The 21,220-nt window shown below is 48.0% G+C and overlaps 1 protein-coding gene and 1 long non-coding RNA gene across 6 annotated transcripts in view; both read right to left on the minus strand.

Moving 5' to 3' along the window:
• The window catches only part of BIN3 (bridging integrator 3), a 48,704-nt gene that overhangs the window by 12,517 nt on the left and 14,967 nt on the right, over positions 1 to 21,220 (minus strand). For 3 of the 5 annotated variants that reach the window (NR_156436.2, NM_018688.6, XM_011544587.2), the window contains exons 2-4: positions 11,821 to 11,869; positions 3,988 to 4,028; positions 3,591 to 3,652 (exon numbers count right to left, since the gene is read on the minus strand). Coding sequence is in view for 3 of the 5 variants with exons in the window: in NM_018688.6 (NP_061158.1) it covers positions 3,591 to 3,652; positions 3,988 to 4,028; positions 11,821 to 11,869 (152 nt within the window). In the remaining 2 variants the exon portion in view is untranslated. The other 2 variants (NM_001363046.2, XM_047421995.1) reach the window with 2 other exon arrangements.
• BIN3-IT1 (BIN3 intronic transcript 1) lies at positions 7,437 to 9,275 on the minus strand. The gene has a single exon (NR_027715.1). It is a non-coding gene; the product is annotated as a BIN3 intronic transcript 1 (long non-coding RNA).

Here is a 21,220-nt window from a genome sequence, read left to right on the forward strand (position 1 = left end):
CTGACCTCAGGTGATCTACCTGCCTTTGCCTGCCAAAGTGCTGGGATTACAGGTGTGAGCCACTGCGCCCAGCCCAGCTGCATTTTCCCCTTTCTTTCCTAAAGCTCTTGCATTGTCAGGAAGTCAAGGAACTGAGTGGGCTCAGTGGCCGGCCCTGGGCAGAACTGGGTCTGGAATCCCCGCCCAGTGATGCCCCCGCTTCATGTGAGCAGAGCAGAGCTGGGGTAGATGACACCAAGAACACCATGGTCTTGGCTGGGCGTAGTGGCTCATGCCTGTAATCCCTGTGCTTTGGGAAGCTGAAGCAGGAGGATCCCTTGAGCCCAGGAGTTCGAGACCAGCCTGGATGACACAGTGTGACTCTGTTCCCCCTCAACAAAAATAAACAGCAGGTCTCCATGCCCCTCTGGACCTGTGGTCCCTGCCCCAGCCCATACCCCTCATTGTTCCCTGCAGGGACTGGGAGAGGGGCACAGTCAGCCTGGCCCACACCAGGAGGCTGGTGATCTTTGAACCTTAGAGAAAGTGAGGGTCTTGGACCCCACCCGGGTCTCTGGAGTCCTGATGCGGCCTCTGGAATGTAAGATTCAAAGATTCACCAGAGCACTCTGAAAGTAGTATGAGTTTCTGAAAGAAAGGTCATCTTTTTTAGAATAACTGGGGATTTTCCACCTTGCTGGGGGAGCGCAGGAGATTCCACGCTCAGGAAAAGCATCCCTCCATTCCCCTCAACTGTCCAGATCAGTGGAGCTCACAGTGTGGGCCTCAGCATCACCTGGGAACTCCAGGGACACACATTTTCAGGTCTCGCCCAGCTCATGAGTTAGTTGGAGGCTGGAGGTGGGGCCCAGCGGCCCACGGCACAGCAAGCCCGCCTACAACACTGATGCCCCGTACATGAGACTGATGTGGCTGTCAGGCTCGCCTTGGCCCCATGACCACCACCACCGCTCTTCAGAGGCACTGTCTCTGCCCACATCCATTCCTGACTGAGGACAGTAGTGTTAGGCTTCTGCAGTTACCCATTCAACTCTGGTTTCTCTGCTGGGAAACTAAGCTTTCCACAGCCATGGACGGTGCGTCACGGACCCCTGATGCCCTCCTTGGTTCCGTAGCAAGCCACTGTGAACACAGCACACCCTGGCTTCGTTTATGCTCTGACAATGCAGCTGTCTGCAGAAGCAGGAAGGAAAGGAAGCAATGGCTCACAGCAGCTCCCGAACTGGAAAGGCAGTGGGGACCGATCAAGAAAAATGCGACCCAAGTAACTCAGACCTGAAATAACTACAAAACAAACAACTGCAGACAAACTCCCAAATCCAGTCCTTGGCTTGTGACACACATAGTTTGGCAACGCTAGAGGCCAGGAGCAAGGTGCATGTTCAGACCAGCCCACGGCCCAGGAATTAGCACTGGCATGAAAATTCATGGCACAGACCAAGACGGCCACAGTCCCTGCACAGGCAGTCAGCGCTCACCCGGGCATGGTGGTGGTGACGGCGGCTCCCAGGGAAGGAACGCTTTCCTTTTGTGATCAGTGCTTTGTAGGAAAGGTGTGTTTACACATCAGTAACTGGCTGAGGCTTAGGAGCTGGCATAAAATGGGAACAAATTCAAATCACTGCCTCTATTGGGACATTTCAAGGGTTTTCCTCGTAACTGCAGTACCAAGTAGGAGCACACTGGTCCTCAAGTCCCACCCGTAGGTGCCCACTGCCCTGTGGCCCTTTGAATGGTGTCAGGAGACAGTGAGGCCGCCCCATTTGCACTAGGCTCACAGACAGCCAAGCAAAGAGTGGATGGGCAACGGTTCCGGAGTGGGGGCTGTTTCGGTCACCTTCTAGTTTGGTGGCGGGCACGGGGGTGGGCAAAGGAATGAGTGGGGCATGGGGAGGCTTCGCTGTGGAGACAAGGCCCTGGACTTGGAGAAGAGGAGCTGAACTCTTCCTCCTTTATCAAATGGACATGCCCATTTATAAAATGGGTGTGTCATGTGCCCTGCCAATCTCAAGGTCAGAAAAGCTCAGGGAGGTGAAATTTCTTCACAGCCATAACATGGCATTATTCAGCAGCTGGAGTGGCCGAGGGGACTGAAGATGGCTTCTCCACCCTCCTGCTGCCTCTCCTGCATCTCTGGTCAGCGTGCACCACCTTAGGGCCTCCGCGCTTGCTGTCCACTGTGTTTCAGGCCCTCTTCCCTTGGCTCTACCTGTGTGGGTTATTCATTCCTTCAGGACTCTGCCCAGGGATCACGTCCCCACGAAGGCCTCCCTTGACCCTGTCACTCTCCACCTCCTTATTTTTATTGACCTTGCACGCCACGACGTGTCATTATATACCGATCCGCTTGTGGACCTCTTGCAGGTCTTCCTCCTAGAACGTAAGCTCCCATCTTGTCTTGCTGTTGAGTCTCTAGTGCTGAGAGTGCCTGGTGCACGTGGGTTCTCGGTCAGCATCTGCTGAGTGAGAGGAAGTGGGCAGTCCTGGCCATACCCAAGTCTCTTTCAGGTCCTCGTCCCAGTGTGGTATATAGACACGGCTTCCCCACTGGACCCAGGGAAGGAGCTGCAGGAGTCCACCCAGTCAGGGAGGCTTGCTGCCGACCATGACGACGGTGATGACAGGAGCGGACACCCCGAGAGCTGACCCGTGCCAGGCCCTGTTCTCAGTGCTTTACGTTGCTCATCCAACTTCATCTTCAGCAACAGCCTGTGCCACTCGGATTGGCGTTACCTGTGCTTCTCGGGTGACGGAACTGAGGTAGAGCTAAGTCAGCTGTCCAGAGCTGCGCAGGGAGTGCTGAAGCTATTGATCAACCTTTGGTCAAGTGCTTGCTGCTCCGGGGTGGGAAAGTCAAGGCCTTGGAGAAAGAACCTCAAGGAATGGTCTCCATCTCTCCCGGCTGCTCGTCGCCTCCTTCCTGGGACATGGCCTGCAGCAAGGGCTCTGGATGCTCCCTTATTCCCGACCTGCTTGTGTCTCTAGGCTCCCAGGCCTGGTTCCTCCTTGTTTCAAACAAGAGCTCTCCAGCCAAGAAACCTCCCCAAGGGCCCTGGCTGTTTCCCAGCACCTGCTGGCCCCCACTTCCCAAGGACCTCCCGGTGCCCTTTGTCATCATAGAATTATCTGGGGTATTTCTGGCCTTACACTTTAACCCAACCTCCTGTTTAAACACATGACAGCTTCCATTCTTGTTGCCACTGGAGCGCCTGTCCCAGCAGGCCACGGAGTCTCGTTTCTGCGGGAAGGAATGTGCTTCCCTTTCCCTCTGGACAGCCTGAGCCGGTGGCCAGGATTCTGAGGCAATGGAGGCATCTGCTACCAGAAGCTTCCACCAGCTGCTGTACTGTCCTGACTGGAGTCCCAGGAGAGCCTTGCCCCAGCACCCACATCCAGAGTGGGGCAGTGCGAGCTCTGTGCAAAGTGGGATGTGACTGGTGAGGAGTGACTGCCCTGAGGCTGCTTCTCAGGACACTGGGTACACGTCCTCTGAGCGCAGCAACTTCAGAGCCCTTGGGGGGCTGAGAGAGGAGGGTGCCCACCTCTGCCCCACCTGCTCAAGCGAGTGGTGCGGGTGGAAAGTCACCTACCCAGGTCTGCGTCGGTGCTCTTCTTCATGTCTTTCTGCAGCCTCCGGGTCTGCTCTTCCAGCCTGCAAGGCAGGGGACGGGCTGCTTGGGGTCCCCTTCCTTCCCCCTACCTGAGCGAAGCCCAGGTGCTCTGGAGGGCCTGCCAAGGAGGAGGAGAAAGGGATCTTCTCCACGGGGACTTTTCCCGCTGACTGAAGTGCCACTACACCCAAAGGCTATGAGTGAATGACTCTCACATGGCCATTGCCAGGGAACAGTTCCAGCAGCCTGGTGACCTGAGCTGCCCTCAGCTTCCAGGGTGCTCACGGGGCAGGGCACGGGGCAGACAGGTGAGACCTGGCAGGGGGCCCTTGTCCCTCCCTGCCTCCCACCTCATCTTTCTGGGGTTGACACTCACTGCTGAAGTTTTCCATACTCCCTTTCAAAGTCTCTCTCCACCTGAAACGAGAGAGATAACTCAATTATCGGAGAAATGACAACACGGTGGAAAAAACCTCCCAGCCTCCTGAAACTCTCTCCACACCCTGCCCCAGTCCGCAGAAAACAACATGGTCCAGTTCACACAAGCACCGACAGATCGCTCCTGACACGGTATTTCTGAGATCCCAAGTTAATTAAGTGTTTGAATTACGGAGGAAGGCTCCCCTCCCAGAGGGTCCAGCCAGGCAGGTGCCAGCGGACTGTGGCTCTGCTCTTCCCAGCTGGGAGCAAGGCACTCGCTGCATGCCCTCCTCACCCCAGGCTGGAGGCAGTCAGGGTGCTCAGAACGTGACTGGACCCCATCCAGGAAGGCAGCAGAGTGCAGAGGAGAGGGCGGGTCTGGAATTGGGGGTCTGTCTCTGCCTTTTCCTAGTTTCCAGGTCCATGCAGGGCACCTCCCCTCCTACGCGGCCCTCCACTCAGGGCCACCTGCCCCTGCTGGGCTCAGGGTGGGTCAGGAACAATCGTGCACCTGTGCTTTGTGATTGGGATGCATCAAACACAGACACTGTGACTACTGACTCAGGTCAGGCTCTCTCCATTCCCGACCGGGTATCAACTCTCTTGAGAGCCAGCAACACTGAAACCAAATGGGTGAGTCCTGAACCCGGGGCTGCACTTGTTGCGGAAGATGAAGTTAAGAAGTCTAGTACTTTCTTCTGGTGCCTTGACTTCACTATCTGTAAAACGGAGCCTCATGATTGGTCTCTTATGGGCATGCAATGGGAAGTAAATGACATCGAGAGGCAAAGGAGACTAAGCTAGAGGCCTGCCCTCCCTGGCCAGAGCTGCAGCCGTCAGGTGCCAGCTTCGGGCTTCGTGCTCTGAGAAGTCAAAACCGCTAACTCACATTCACAGAGCCCTCACTGTGTGCTTTACAAGAATGCAGTTCTCTACACTCATCTCCAAGGCAGGTCACCGGGAACCAGGTTACGTACCCTGGCCAAGGTCACCCCATTGGTGAGGGGTAGAGTTGAGCACAGTGGGAATGGAACCCAGGCAGCCTGGCTCCACAGCCTGTGTTCGTAACCATCATTCTCCTGGAAGGCATTTGCTGACCCAAGAAAGAAGTCTTCCTGGCTGCTCCCTGGGAATCCTGTCCCCAAGAGCCCTAGATCCTGACTTCTGCTCTGAGGGTCAGGGAGTACACATCTGCAGAAACTGTCAAAGCCACGCTATTCCTACCACTGTCTTCCAGCAACGCTGACCTGATGAGAGAATTCTAAGCCCCTTAACCTTAGCACTCCACGTTTGGATTTAGATTAATTCAACATAGCCCTGGAATGACAAAACAGCATTTATGCTACAAATGAGGAGCCCGAAGCCCAGAGACAGGAGTGACTTCCCTAAGGATGCAGGACATTCTGGTGGCAATGCAAGGCTAGAATCCAGAGTCCTGGTTCAGGTCTTTTTGTTTCAAATTTAAACAACATTCATTCCTACGAACATGTATGAGCACCTATTAAGTGCGATGCATTCTGCCAGGTTCTGGGGATACCCTGGTGATTCAAACAGACATGGGCCCTGGTGGTGGAGATAAACAACTGCCAGATACAAATTTACTTGCTGACTATGATGGGCCTTTTGGACAGCAGGAATGAGGCCAGAGAGAGTTGAACACAGAGTCTGCTTAGCTCTGGCTCTCTGGGCATGACAACAGACTCACTGCATGGAGATAGCTTACCTTCCTCATTTCAACTGTAAAATCCAGAAGCAGGAAAAAAATGATCTTTTCCTTACTTTATGATCCTAGCATCTAGAACCTTCCACAAAACTGTGAAGTAAAACCCACCATTGGTGCCCCCGCCTCCCATCCTACAATCTTTCTTCCTCTTTTCAACAGACTCTTTCTCCATCCAGGAACCCACTATTTTTATCATTACTTACCTTAGGATCCAGCAAAAGCTACTCGTAAGAAAAAAATTCAAAAATCACTCCCACTAAAGCACAAATGCTTGATGAGCATTTAAAGTGTTGCCTGTCCCAGGGGATTTACAAGTTTGCAGGAACCAAAGTCTTAGCTAAAGGAACGGAAAGACTCTGGTGTAACTGCAGGTGGGAAATTTGCTTTGGTGTGAAGGAGCCTCGCCAGGGCCCTTGAAAGTCTGTACTTTGGTGTCAGCCTGGTTTTCTCCAGCAGGGCTGGAAGAATGCAGTTTAGAGGCATGAGCAGAGACAGGTAAGATATGAACTCTGATACTAGCTGTGGAGACTTGATAGTACTAAGCATTTTTTTTTTTTTTTTGAGACAGGGTTTTGCTCTGTTGCCCAGGCTGGAATGCGATGGTGGCATCATGGCTCACTGCAGCCTTGACCTTCTAGGCTCAAGCAATACTTCTGTCTCAGCCTCCTGCATAGCTGGGACTATAGGCATATGCCATTATGCCTGGCTAATTTTTTAAATTTTAGTGGAGACGGGATTTTGCTATGTTGCCTAGGCTTGTCTTGAGCTCCTGGCCTCAAGTGATCCTCTTGCATTGGCCTCCCAAAGTGCTGGGATTACAGGTTTAAGCCACCTCACCCAGCCAACTTTAGGTGGCTTACGAGGAAATAGCTGATATCATCTACCCCAGTGGTTCCTTTTGAGGATTAAGAGGCAGTGCGTGTAGAGCAGATTGCAAGGTGCCTGGCCCATGGCAGTCCTCACTAAATGTTAGTTTCTGTGTTTTTCTCCTGCTCACTGGGGTGCTGGGAAGACCAGAGCAATTTGGGGCTGCAGGCTGGGCTATAAACCTGGGCTATAAGCTGCCCCAAGCACACAGGAAACTAGCAGCCAGGGAAACCCTGATGTTGGTTAAGGGTGGAGTCCCATGCTTGGGTGTTGTGATAATGCCCTAGCTCCCTTTACTAGACACACTTTTTTTTTTTTCTTTTGAGGCGGAGTTTCGCTCTTGTCACCCAGGCTACAGGGCAATGGCGTGATCTCGGCTCACCGCAACCTCCGCCTCCCGGGTTCAAGCGATTCTCCTGCCTCAGCCTCCCGAGTAGCTGGGATTACAGGCATGTGCCACCGCGCCTGGCTAATTTTCGTGTTTTTAGTAGAGACAGGGTTTCTCCATGTTGGTCAGGCTGGCCTCGAACTCCTGACCTCAGGTGATCCCCCCCGCCTCGGCCTCCCAAAGTGTTGGGATTATAGGCGTGAGCCACTGTGCCCAGCCTGCTGGACACATCCTTCTTCTTCTTTTTTTTTTGAGACAGAGTCTCACTCTGTCGCTCAGACTGGAGCGCGGTGGCACAATCTCTGCTCACTGCAACCTCTGCCTCCCAGGCTCAAGCAATTCTCATGCCTCAGCCTCCCACGTACAGCTGGGACTACAGGAGTGAGCCACCACACCCGGCTAATTTTTGAATTTTTTTTTTTTTTTTGGTAGAGATGGGGTCACCATGTTGCCTGGGCTGGTCTTGAACTCCTGGCCTCAAGTGATCTGCCTGCCTTGGCCTCCCAAAGTGCTGGGATTACAGGCATGAGCCACCGCGCACGGCCCACATCTTTCCTCTAACCTTGCAGGATATGACAGCTGAGCAGCATCTTTACTTATTAAAAGTATTTATTTCCAGAAAGAGAAAATTAAAACTAAGCACTACTTGGCCCAAACCAAACCCCTCTAGAGATCCAGAACACACAGGGGGCGCTCTTTGGGAGGGGTGCTGAGTGTTAGCTGAACCCCGGGGCCCTAGCCTTTGGCTCCCTTCCTCCCTTTTGCAATCCCCCAAGTGTGCCGATGTGTGTGGGATGTCAGACAACACCTGGTCTCCCTGGCTGGGGACTGCTTGGACTTGTACCGGGAGGGACTTCAGGTTTTCAGCTAGGTTGATCATCCTGGAAGCTGAGGAACTTGAGGTCTCACAATGAAGCTGAGGAGAAGGTCAGGGGTGGGAGCGCGTTTTCTACTTGGTGCCGCTCAAGGCCATCTGACAGCCTGAGAGGAGTTTGGACACATTTCACCTCCCCTGCTTCCAGCGGCCGGGGTGGGTTGCTTCTCTAGCTCACTGGTCCGAGAGTTCTCTCCTCCACTGGGGAAAGATGCACGGGGACACTGCCAGAATTCTAGCCTCTCAGATAATGGCTAAGGGACTAAAGGGACACACTGGAGCCTCATTCCGAGGAAAAGAGCCAGACAGAAAAGATCTGAACATCTTTGAATGCTTGATGCCTTTGCCAAAAAGGCAATTGGACCCCAGTCAACAATGCAAGTATAAACACATGTGCACGGACCATCAGGGGATCAGGGCAAGCTGGGCCAGGCTGGCGAGGTTAGCTCAGGGAGAACCAAGCCCCAGACGACTACCCGTGGCCACCCCCTGCATTCATTCTCCAAGGCCCACGGTGGGAGGAAAGGGTTTTGCTGTTCCCTGCTCTTTTGGCAGTGCACAGGTCAGGCCCTGGCACAGAGTGGGAACTCAGTATGAAGTGAATGAACAGGCTGAGTTCCCACCCAAACTTATGCTCATGGTGAAGTGAAAAAGGAAACTGGCAGGCAGGGCTGGGGCACTGATCCCAGGGCTGAGGTGCATCTGATCGGAGTCTGAGAAGCCCAGAATCCTCAGCATTCTGGGAAGCCCCTCCTTCAAGGGATGCTCTGCGTGGAAAGTGGGCTCCCTGTAGGTATGTTCTAGCAGGATTAAGCAGGATTAACGAGGCTAAGGGCCCCGCCACCTGGCAGATGAAAATCCTTCTCCAGTGGAGAGGCTGCATGTGGCCAGACTCTCTTTGCCCTAACTTTGCAGAGCACCCACCTGGCTAGGAACCTTGGAGCGCATGTTCCTTGTGTGCAAGACTCACAGTAACCCTTGTTTCAGGGGGACACGAAGAGCAAAGCTTCGAAGAGCTCTTCCATCCTCCCAGGTTATGGAGGAAGGTGTGGCGGCTTCTTCCTACGCTACGATGCTCCCGCCACTTTATGGGACCTGGGGAGTGGGAGGGGACTGGGTGGAAGGTTAGGATCGGGATCGGGGGAGCTTTTGTTCCTCCATCTCAGTTCTAATGGTCAGCCCCAGCAGGAACAAGCCATTCTAGCCAAAGCCTTGACAATAATGGAATTTGTGTTAATAACCTGGGCACAGGAGAGCAGTGAGGGTAGGGACACAATGCTTTCTTTGTGCCTGACAGTTGGGTGCCTTGAGCCAAAAACCTCCTGAAACTCCCTGAAGATAACGTGAGCATTTCTTCCCATGACAGGGGCTCCATGACTTCCAATAACCCAGGCAGCCACAGCTGCTCCCCTCCCTGAAAGTGCCTGGGCAAGAACAACAGAGTGCGTCACTGCTGTTCAAGGGCAGCTGCCAGAGATGCTGAGACAACTGCACAGCCCAGGCCTGTTTTGGGGGCCGGGAGGGGGTGGTGGGTGGGGAATGAGACTGAAGAGGCAGGGTCTTACTACTTCTACTTCAGTGCCTCTGGGGAGTGGAGGGGTATAGGCCAGGGAAGCAAATAACTACTCCGAGCTGTAGCTCAGCTGTGATTCCTTGTGAGAGATCAAAGGCCCAGCCGACTTTTGTTGCGTTGGGAAATCTAGCTGCCTGGGACAGGCTGAGTCCCTGATGGTTCATAAAGAAGGTCAAATCAACCAGCTTCCTGTGATGTAGTTAACTGGGGACTTATTTTGTGCCAGACACTGTGTTAGGTGCCTTCAGTGTATTATCTTGTGTGAGCCTCAAAGTAACATCTGTGACACAGGTACTGTCATCATCCTGATTTTATAAACGAGAAAATGAAGGCTCCAGAGGTTAAGGAACTTGCCCAAGGTCAGAGACAGCATGTGGCAGGGCCAGGATGGGGACCCAGGCTGCCAGCCTCCCAAACCTAGTTTCTTAACCCCTACCTGACCCCCAGTCTATCAGAGAGCAGATGCCATAATCAGAGGACCACAATTCCATCTCCAGCGAGACAGATGCGAGGAAGGGAAGAGGGATGCCCTGTGTGCATCTGCCCGCACTGCGAGTCCTTGCCACTCCTTAGATCAACGGAGCCAGAGATCTTGCCACCAACACACTGGCAAAGCAGCTGGTTTGTCTACACTTTCTGTGGAGAACAAAGTTCATTTTGATAAAGGTTGGGGTGCTGGGAGGGTTTTTGTTTGTAGTGAGCATTCAGAATAAAAGAACCCTCTTGAAACCACTTCCCTTTCAGATCTGTCATGGATTAAACTCTGGAGACTCAAAGCCACACCTTCCCACTTCCTGCAGCCGGCTAGAGACCAACATATGCACACCCAGATTCTTTGGACTTCAGCTGAGAGCCTCCACAGATGGTCAGCCTCTGCATGAGAGGTCAGCGCTGAGTTGGTCAGCACCCTGCCTCTGCATGAAGCAGAGAGGCCCCACCCCCCAACTTTTTTTTTTAACAGACAGGGTCTCAGTCTATCACCTAGGGTGGAGTGCAGTGGTGCAATCAGAGCTCACTGTGGCCTCGAACTCGTGCGCTCAAGCAGTCCTCCTGCTTTAGCCTCCCAAGTAGCTGGGACTACAGGCGTGCATATTTTTTGGTAGAGTCGGGGTCTCTCTTTGTTGCCCAGGCTGGTCTCAAACTTCTTGCTTGAAATGATGCCCCCACGTTGGCCTTCCAAAGTGTTGGATTACAGGCGTAAGCCACTGGACCCTGTGAGGGTGCTTTTAACTTGGGCCTGTTTCCTCTCAAGTGACCTTACTCTGGATTTGCTAGAGATGGAGCCATTGGTCAGATGTGTGCCAAACTTCTCACCACACTGAAGCAATCTCTTTCCTGTACTTTTGAGAGCTCTGCCAAGGAGGGGAGAAGCTAGTAAGACAAGGAGAACCGTCAGGGGCTGGGATGACAGACGAGGGCCTCTGCCGCCAGCACAGCACCGGACTTCCTGTAGCTGTCACATCAGAGAGGCTCTACAGTTGTGGTCTCCCATGTTAAAACCAAGAGACCCACTCAGATTTGTGGGTCAGGAGGTTGAAAAGGCTATTTTGCACCGGGATTCCAAAACACTGGGAGGGCTTCACTGCCCAGGGAAGCATGAGGCAATGGAAAGAGTATCAGCCAGGGGCTCACGCCTGAGTTCTAACTCCAGCTTTGCCAGTGTGGGGTTTTTATAACTTGAGGAAGTCATTGCAACTTTCCACGGGCCTCATTTTCTTCATCAGGAAAAATCAGGAGGTTGGACTAGATGGTCTCTATGAGCTTCCAGCTCTAACTTCCTAAGAATCTATGATTCTCTTCCTTTCCCATTCTGGAGATAAAAACTTTCTAGGGATAAAAACTGTGGGCTTAAAGGGGGGTGGGATTCAATCTTCCTTTCCTGCTGAGTGACTCTGGGTCATGGCCAAGAATGCATTTGGAAGTTGACACAAACAGGCCGAGGCCACTGGGAAAAGCTTCCTGGAGTTTTCTGCAGCTGAGGTAACAGAAATAAATGCCTGGGCAGTGTCTTTGGTGGGGGCCACTCTTTCAGGAACACTCTTAGGAAAAGTATAGACCACAAGCCAGTCCCTAGAGGTGGACCGTTCTAAAGCAATATCTTCCTCTACATTTTTGTAATCCACCCATTCCCCCTGCCCAAGGATGATAAAGAGCCCAGGCTAACCTTTCCTAGGGGAAGTGTCCCAGGACAGGAGGCCCCTCTAAGCCTCAGTCTATGTGAGGTTCTAGATCCGCATAAGCAGGAAGAAGGCCCAGGTTGCTGTCTTCCCAGCCCCAAGATGTGTTGATTCAAAGCTTTGATTCTTATGCAAAGGCCATGTGATACAGAACTGAATCTCACAGCAAAACAATCGAGTTACTCACTGTTTTGGGCACAATCTGTTTCTTGGGCTGCCCAATCTTAAAAGGAATCCTATAAGAGAAAGAGACAAAGAGAGATATTGTGAGAAGTGGGGAAGGATGCAGCTCAAAGTATCAGTACAGTACAGGCCACTTTCCCCCAGGAGGGCGAGGAAGCGTGGCCATGGCTTGCTACTTGGACCATGTGCCCTGGTGGGCATACAACCATTGGCATCTGGGCTTGGTTCTAAGAGAGAGATAGGTCCTCCCACCTACAGTGTCAGATGCAGGTTGCTCTGCCCCAGAACATCTTTGCTACTGATAGTCTGTCATTTAAAGAAAATGAAAAGGTGAGGCCAAGGAGTTTGAGGCTGTAGTGACCTATAATTGCACCACTGTTCTCTAGCCTAAGCGACAGAGCAAGACCCTATCTCCAAAAAAAAAAAAAAAAATCCGCTGGGTATGGCAGCTCATACCTGCAATCCCAGCACTTTGGGAGGCCCAGGTGGAGGACTGCTTGAGCCAGGAGTTCAAGACTAGACTGGGCAATATAGCAAGATCCTATCTCAAAAAAAAAAACACAAAAAAACAACCACCAAAAATTAGCCGGGCGTGGTGGCACATGCCTGTAGTCCCAGTCACTTGAGAGGCTGAAGCAGGAGGATCACTTAAGCCCAGGAGTTTGAGGCTGCAGTGAATTATGATCATACCACTGCACCCTAGCCTGGGCAACAGAGGGAGACCCTGTCTTTTAAAGAGATAAAGGAAGGGAACAGAAGGGAAGAAAGGGGAAGGGGAGGGGGAGGAAAGGAAAGGAAAGGAAAGGAAAGGGGAAGAGAGGAAAGGCGAGGATGGCAGGAAAGGGAAGACACCCGCGAGGATGGCAGGAAAGGGAAGACACCCTGTGAATGACAATAAAACCTTGTGTCTTGAGGAGGTGCAAACTCAGAAATTACAGACTCACTGTAATAGCTATCATCCTTGAAATCACGAATCATTATGGTCTATATTAGGTGCTTTGCTACTTCTCTATAGAGGGGCAAACTTTGGATCTGCAAATCTTCTTTGGAGGCTGGGGAGAGTTAATAAATAACAGAGGCATTAGTGATTGGCCGGGCTGGATTATTTCCCTGGGAAAACTCACAAAATCAAAAAGCTGCTAACTTGGAAAATAATCTGAAATCCAGCCCAAGTCTGCCTTGGACTTGCTATGAAGAGCTGCACCTCAGATTCCCTACTTTACAGCATGGCACAGCGGAAGGAGGATCATGGGTCTAGGAGTCTCAACCTGAGCATTAGCCTGGCCTCCGCTTCCACTGAGCAGGCTGCCCTTCGGCAGGTGACGGCTGCACTGGGACTCCATTTCCTGCTGCATAAAACGAGTAGATTAAACTAGGTAATTTAGGAGCTTCCTTGAGGCACTGAGCATTCTATGATTCTCCAACTCCAGGAAGAAAAGAGGCCAGGCTAGAAAGTGCATCCCAATGGCTATGGAAAGGGTAGACTCCCGATCCCAGGTAGGAAGTGAGTCAAGAATCCCTGCGATCAGCTCCGGCAGAGGGCTCTCAGCCAGCCATGCTCATCCCTCTCCTTTTGGCTCTTCCATTCAAACCTCCCGTTTCCACAATGCACCAGACCCGCTCCACCAGGCCCACATCCCACCCTTCCCTCCACACCCCCTTCTCCCTGAGCCTGCTTTCCTTTGGCCCAAACTGACCAACACACTGTTGCTAAACCCAAGGGTGTAATTAACCACCGATAATGACCCCAAACAGTGATCCAGTGGAGGGGATGGGCCAGCCTGAGTCACAGTGGTTTAAATTTAATTTCTGGAGGACATCCTGTTTATTGTTAACCCAGCCCCATAATTTGGGAGTGTTAACCCTTTGGGGGCTGGCTGATTCGCATCTTCTGTAAACAAATAAATTCTGACTACATAATAACCAGGGAGGAAAGGTAAGGTCTGGAAATGAAAAGGAAAGAAAAAATGAAATTGTTGCTTCCTTTCTCAGACCTAAACAGAAAAGGTTCACGGGGAGATGGGTTCCTTCCCCACACCCTGGTTACTTTTCCCATTCTCAGGGATTACAGCTGACAGACAGGATGGTTTTTGGACAGTGAGCAATTGCCCTCAAGGACCATTCTGGAGACAGTGCAAATGAGGTCCTGGTGGCAAGGACCACTCTGGAGACATTGCAAATGAGGTCCCAGTGGCATTGCAGACAGACAGCCTGTATTCTGTGGGAAGCATGCTGCAGCTGAAAGCGCTCTCGACCCGGTATCAGAAAACGTGGCCTCTGCCTCCGACTCATTTTGTGATTTGAACAAATCTCAATCTCTCTGGAGCCCAGTTTCTTAAACTATAAAACAAAGGAGTTGGAATCCCTTCAGCTTATCTAAAACTGGAATTCTAAACTGAATCTCCACTCCAAGAATATGGGGAGTAGGATGAGAATTCTAAAGAAGTCTCAGAGTGGTCTTCAAAACGATTCTTGGAGTTTAGTACTGTAGACAAGGGACCAAGAATCAGAAACGTAGATTCCATTATTTGTGGTGTGACAGCCTCCCTCTAAACCTTAATTTAGTATCACGGTATTTTTAGAACTGTAAGTTACCATAGAAATTTTTTCCCCAGTTCAACCCTCTCCTTTTGTAGATGAGGAAGCAGATCCAGAAAGGTTCAGTGACAAGCCCAGGGTCACTCTGCTGGCTCACAAGAGAACAAGGAAGAAGCAACCAGCACCCCTGGTGTCCAGCCCAGTTTTCTCTCTGCTACCCACAGTTCAATACTCTTTTCACATGAATTTGTTATAAGTATGTGATGAAAACACCTAGTCTCAAAGTCCTACAGAATTCCAAGGGGCTCATTGTTCTTAAGGGTCTGGAAGTGAATGGGAGGACGTTCGTGCTGAACTGGGTGCTCTGGCACAATAAGAGGTTATGTACACCACGCAGACGGAACAGCTCTTTCCTTGTATTTTCACCACAGTTACTGATGATCACAGAGACCTATCATACTGTTCTGATTATTTTTCAACTCACCTGCTCAAAAGCCCTATTAGAACACTTTAAAAAAATCCTTCACATTTAAAAAGTTTTAAAGAAAAACTGTGAGGCCGGGCGTGGTGGCTCACACCTGTAATCCCAGCACTTTGGGAGGCCGAGGCGGGTGAATCACGAGGTCGGGAGATCGAGACCATCCTGGCTAACACGGTGAAACGCCGTCTCTACTATAAAAAATACAAAAAAAAAAAATTAGCTGGGCATGGTGGCGGGCACCTGTAGTCCCAGCTACTCAGGAGGCTGAGGCAGGAGAATGGCATGAGCCTGGGAGGCAGAGCTTGCAGTGAGCCGAGATTGCGCCACTACACTCCAGCCTGCGCGACAGAGTGAGACTCCGTCTCTCAAAAAAAAAAAAAAAAAAGGAAAAGAAAAATTGTGAAGGAAGTACATAATTCCTATGTTGCCCACCCTCAGTTTCCCCTTTTATTAACATCTGATATTGGTGTGGTACATTGGTCACAAACAATGAACCAACAGTGAGAGTCAAGACTATCCTTTCTTCAGACCTCCTCAGTTTTCCCCATGTCCTTTCTCAGTTCCAGCATCCCACCCAGGTCCCCACGTCACCTTCAGTCACTATGTGCCCCGAGGCTCCGCTTGGCTGTGACAGTTCCTAAATCTCTCCCTGCTTTTGATGACCATGCCAGTTTTAAGTGCTGGTCAGGCATTTTACAGAATGCCAACTTGGACTTGTCTGATGCTTTTCTCCTGACTAGACTGGAGTTATGGCTTTTGGGGTAGAAGATCACAGAGCAGAAGAGCCATCCTCACCACATCATACCCAGGGTCCACGATGTCAACATGCCTTACCCTGCTGATGTGAACCTTGATCACCAGGCTGAGGTCATCTTTCTCAGCTTCCTACTGTGAAGTTACTCTCCCTTCTCCCTTTCCCTACTGCACTCCTTGGGAGGAAGCCATCATGCAGAATCCTATTTCTTATTTATTCAACCATTCAATATCAGTATGGACTCACAGATATTTATCTTATATTTTGGGTTATAATCTAATACATTATTTTGATGCTCAAACTGTTCCAGCTTTCACCACTGGCAGCTCTTTCAGTTGGCTTCTGTGTCCCTTTGACATATCCACATCAACGTATGTATGTATGTATGTATGTATGTATGTATGTATGTATGTATGTAAGTGTGTGTGTGTATTTCCTTACTTTCCAGCTCTACGACATGTACCAAGTGCATCTTGTACATTTCCTGCCTCAGCCCTAGAATCAGTGGAGGAACTTACATTAGTATTCAATGTGCTTCTGTAATATGTTCTCAACCTTACTTTTCCTATTCACTCAGTACAACTGCCATGATTCAGCCAAGTGGCTGTTCATTAATCCCCCAAATCTAGACTCCTTATAATTTCCTGTCCCAAACTGGGACATTTTGGAGTACACGTCATCAGGACAACTTGGACTGCCCAGGGCAACCAGGACAAATGGCTACCCCACCTATATGGAATGCTTTCTCTGCTCCCAGGAAAACTTCTCACCTTCTTCTAAACGTCAAAGACTTATTTGGCATTTAAAAAATTCTACCCTTTACAGTTAATTACAGTTTATCTCCTTAAAAAGTAAAGTATTCACACGAGAAACAGTAACTTTAAAACAACTATTACAGAAAAACGTGCTCATTGCAGAACACTTGAGAAATAAAAGGGGATGGGGTGGGTGGGGGTATAAGGGAGGAAAAGGAGAGGGAAAAACCCAGCCACGATTCCGCATCTAAAAGATGGCCAAGGTTAATGTTTCAGTGTTGCTATTTATATTTTTTAAATTTACAGTAAGAAAAACTGAAGCAAATATGCCAAATGTTGGTAGTGGCTAATTCTGGGTGGTGAGAATATGATTACTGTTTTCTTCTTTGCACTTTCCACATTTTTCTTTCAAATAAACCAAAAACAAAAACAAAAACAAACAAACAAAAAAACACCCTTGTTTTTTTCTTGACTACAAAAATAGCACCTGATCAGTGTTAAAAACCTGGAAGAGATAGAAAAACGCAAAGGACAACACACACACACACACACACACACACACACACACACACACACACACCCCCAAAGGAAAAAATTAACAGTAATATCCTGAATCACAGTGTGTACATGTGTGTGTGCATGTGCATATGTAAATTTTATATAATTTTTAAATTAATAAGTAAAAGAAATATCATGAATGGTTTTATATGAGAATATATCATTTTCACTCTCCTGATTTTTAAGAGCTACGGAAGTAAAATGAGTGGTTCAGGTATATAATGGAAATGTACCACTCGTTTTATTTCTGTAACCTCATCACTTACTGCTGGTCATTGCAACCGTTTCAAATTTTTCTTCTATTATGAACAAAAACTCCAATAGGTAAATCTTGGTGTGCACTAAGAGTCATACAGGATCAATTCTGTATACTGTGTTCAAGGCTTTGACACATTTTGACAAACTGCCCTAGAGACAGATTGAAACATTTAACATTTTTGAAAAGATTGAAACAGTTTACATTTTACTAACCACACTTTGGTTTGTATATCAGGATTTTTTTCTTGGATTAGTGTTTGCCTTTCACTTTTGTACATGCTTGTGTTTAATGTACAGAAGCTTTTGATTAGTGTGAAATCAAATCTACTAAATCCGCCTTTTGTGAGTTCTTCTTTTGGTATCAAACTGAGGATGACCTGCTTCCTCCACTCCATCAACTTGCAACTATTTACCTATATTTACTTTATTACTTTTATGGCTTCCTTTTGTTAATCTAAATTCTATCATTAGTATCAAAGTTATAGTGTGCACAGTCTAATAAGGCAACAAGATTTCTTAAGTAAAACGTTAGTTCCCAGGACTCCCTAATCTCATTTGCCAGAAACAACCACTTTCAACTCAACTGAGTTTCTAGTATTTACCTTTGCACATCTAAAGATAAATGCTTATACTGCTACCTCTAGATCGTTAGGTTTTTAGGCACTAAAAATCTACTTTAGCTATTGACTTTTTACTTCGGAAGATGAAGATTTAAAATTAAACAAACAAAATATTTTTGGGTACCCATCGCTATTTCATGAAGCCACACTTGCAGCTCTTCTTCTCAATATAGTTACAGTATAATAACTTGGTTAGCTCAATATTAAGTAAACTATTAGGAGGATATTGTGAGTTTTCTTCCATCCTGCCCTTGGGAGCCAGCAGATTGTTCAGCCTCAGTCAAAGCTTTAGGGCATAGCAGTTGTAGCCGATGTACTGAGTCACAAACTCGTAAGAGTTTCCAAGTCAAAGCTCCAGCTATGCCACTCCCAAATTCCTGACCAACAGAAACTATTTGTTTCCAGCCACTAAGTTGTGGGATAATGTGTCACGCAGCAGTAATACATAAATAACATGCATACTTTTTTTTTAACTTTCCCTAAAATTGGTAATTGTCACTTTTCTTTCATTTGCTTGTCTACGTACTTATCCCCAATTCAATCTGTGGTCTAACTCTGGTTTCAACACATTCATCGTTATCAGGTGTTCTCTCCTTTGCATCTTCCGGACAGTCTGCCCTGCAACTGCTGCCTCGCTCCAACCTGGACTGGCTGCCTGCTCCCCAGCCGTGAGGCTCTCAGCACCAGCTGTCCCTTCACCAATCTTTCTGGGATTCCTTTGACTTCTCTTTCATGATTTTTCCCTGATCCTCCTCTTTCTTCATTTACCCCTTATTTTGGTGGGAACAAAGTATGTGGGAGGTCACTTTTGAGACTGCACATCCTAAAACCTTGTTCTTCTACCTGCAGGCTAATTTGGGCATAGAATTAAAGGCTGGACATAATTTCTGCCAGAATTTCAAAGGCATTGCTCCCCTGTCTTCTAACTTCCCAGTACTGCTGCTGTGGGAAAGTCTGAAGCCACTCTGATTCCCATCCTTTGTATATAACCTGTTTTTTATTTTCTTACACAATCTTATAGGAATATATGTTTGTCACGGTGTTGTATAATTTTACAACAATGTGGGTCTATTTTCATCCACTGTGGTGGGTACTCACAGGACTGTTTCAATTTGGCAATTTATAATCTTCGGTTCTGAGATTTTAAAAATTTTGTTGTTGATTTCTTGTTTTCTGTTTCTTACTTCTGAAACTTACAATTTCGATGCTGACCCTCCTTGGCTGGTCCTCTAATTTCTGTTTCTCAATTTCATCTTCTAACGCTTCTACCAAGTTTTTTTTTTTTTTCATTTCTGCTATCAGATTTTTAATTTCTAAGAGCTCTTTTAAATTTTCAGGATGTCCTTTTAAAATGGTATCTTATTTTTATTTCATGGATGCCTTATCTCTCTGAGGATCTTAACAACAGCTTTAATTAAAAAGTTTCTTCTTCCCTTTATAGTTTCAGTTTTCCTCCAAGTTGCTTTTTTTCTTTTTGTTTAGTCTTTATTTTCCATACTAAGTGCTTTCCTTGGATGTGTGGTAATTCTTGGTTGCCTACTCTCATCTATGACTGGGAGACAAAAAGAGCTGACAAGAAGCTCTGAGCACACGAACCATGTTTATCTACTGGGTAGGACAATCTGCAAACTGGCTGAACAGTTTTGTGGGGAACTCCCTGATGTCACTATCTTTCTACTCTTTTCTCTTGGGCAGGTAAAATTCCTTAGAGAAGATTCTTCCAACCTTCTGCCATTCTGGGAACTCGGCAATGGAAGAGCCTGCGTGTGCATGTATGTGTACACATGTGTGCATGTGCGCATGTGTGGTGGGGAGGGGAAGGGGTGTGCCTTGGCACTCTGAGGGTGTGCGTTCACTTCATCCTCCCGACTTCACTAGGGCAGTCCCACCCTCAGCTGTGCTGGCTGCCCTCTCAGAGGCGGGTTTGAAGTTTATACAATTTTGTATGCCCCATTTCAAGAAAATTACAAATATACAAATAGGCATGAAAGTGAATATTTAGGCAGAGAAAAGAGCAAAACAAATGCGAAGTTTTAAAAGCTAATAAATGACACAAACATCAGGAAATAATCTAGTATTTTTATGAATCATCTGCCTAACACACCTCTATCTTTGTCTCCCTACATTTTTGGGCTGCTTAGTGTTTGGTTGCCTCTTCATGTGATGCAGAGTTGGTAGCATCATTTTCTTAGAGTAAAAAAGGTAATTCCCTCTTTCCTCTGGTATGGTTGTTCGAAATTTTTCTACTACTGATGGTTTAGAAGAGCCTTTTTCAGCTTACTGGTAATATCCAAATTTTAGGATTGTTGTAAAATTTAGAAAAATCTCATGTTTCCTCTGCAAATAAACTAAGATGTCAGGGCACATTTCAAGGTTTCTTGTACAGTGACTAATCTTAAGTGTTCTTTGAATTAATGACAGTGACCAGTTTGTCATTAATGTCTGTCTTTGAAGGAGGGCGTATTTTGAATTTTGTTATCTTTGTTATGTTTTTCATGTTAAATCCGCCAGAAATTTAAATGTTTTATCAGTGTGTTCCGCTGATTTGCTCCTCTTCTTCATTAACTGAGTTTTCTAACAATCATCACTCCTATTTAAAATGGATCTCGTTCTCTTAATGGATTACTCACTTTTGGTACAATTGGAAAATGTTTTGTTATGCTTTGCTATATTTCAGAATGATTTCTACATATTTAAGCACTCACCTTATCATTTTTGTGTTCCATTATTTTTAAATCCAATTTTCTCTCTAGTTTTTAAGTAAATTTAAAATTGACCACAAAAGGTAACCGTTACACATTTCCAACTCAGGAGCCTGTGATTTCTTGTTTTACTAACATTTTCCAAAGATGTCTTTACAACGTACAGTTAAAACAGTATACTCCCAATTCACCCTTCCTTAGTTCCATCCCCCAAAAAAGCCTGGGCTACCCCAGGATTGCCTGACATGAGGGATAGTATGAAGAAGTAAAAGCAGGAATGAAGACAGAGGTTTTCCTAACTCGCTGCAATGTAAACACTTTATGTTTCAGTTTACCACAACATAGGCATGCCTAGGGTTCCTTCCAGGGTCTTGGGAAAGGTCCATTTAAGTTGGGACCCTGAGGCTGAAGCTTTGTAAGTTTCACACCTTAAATCCACCTTTGTGTCCCCTGGTACAGAATTCTTTGGAGGTGGGGGTTGGGGTGTAGGACTCTTCATTCTTCTGCTAGGGTGGGGTGGGGTGGGGACAGTCTCCCAGTGATAAGCAGTTAGGGAGATGTTAGGGCTCTAAACTATTCATAGTTTTCAACCAATCACCCTGATCTCAGCCCTTGGCTTCACCTAACTTCTAGAGGTACTTAGTACCAACTCCCAAACCTTTGAGAATTCTGGGATGTAAGGTGGGATGGCTCTTGGTTTTCTCAAACGCCAGTTTGGGACTTGACTTTCTTGGAACT

The sequence above is a fragment of the Homo sapiens genome, chromosome 8, assembly GCF_000001405.40.
Source record: "Homo sapiens chromosome 8, GRCh38.p14 Primary Assembly".
In the NCBI taxonomy this organism is placed as follows: domain Eukaryota; kingdom Metazoa; phylum Chordata; class Mammalia; order Primates; family Hominidae; genus Homo; species Homo sapiens.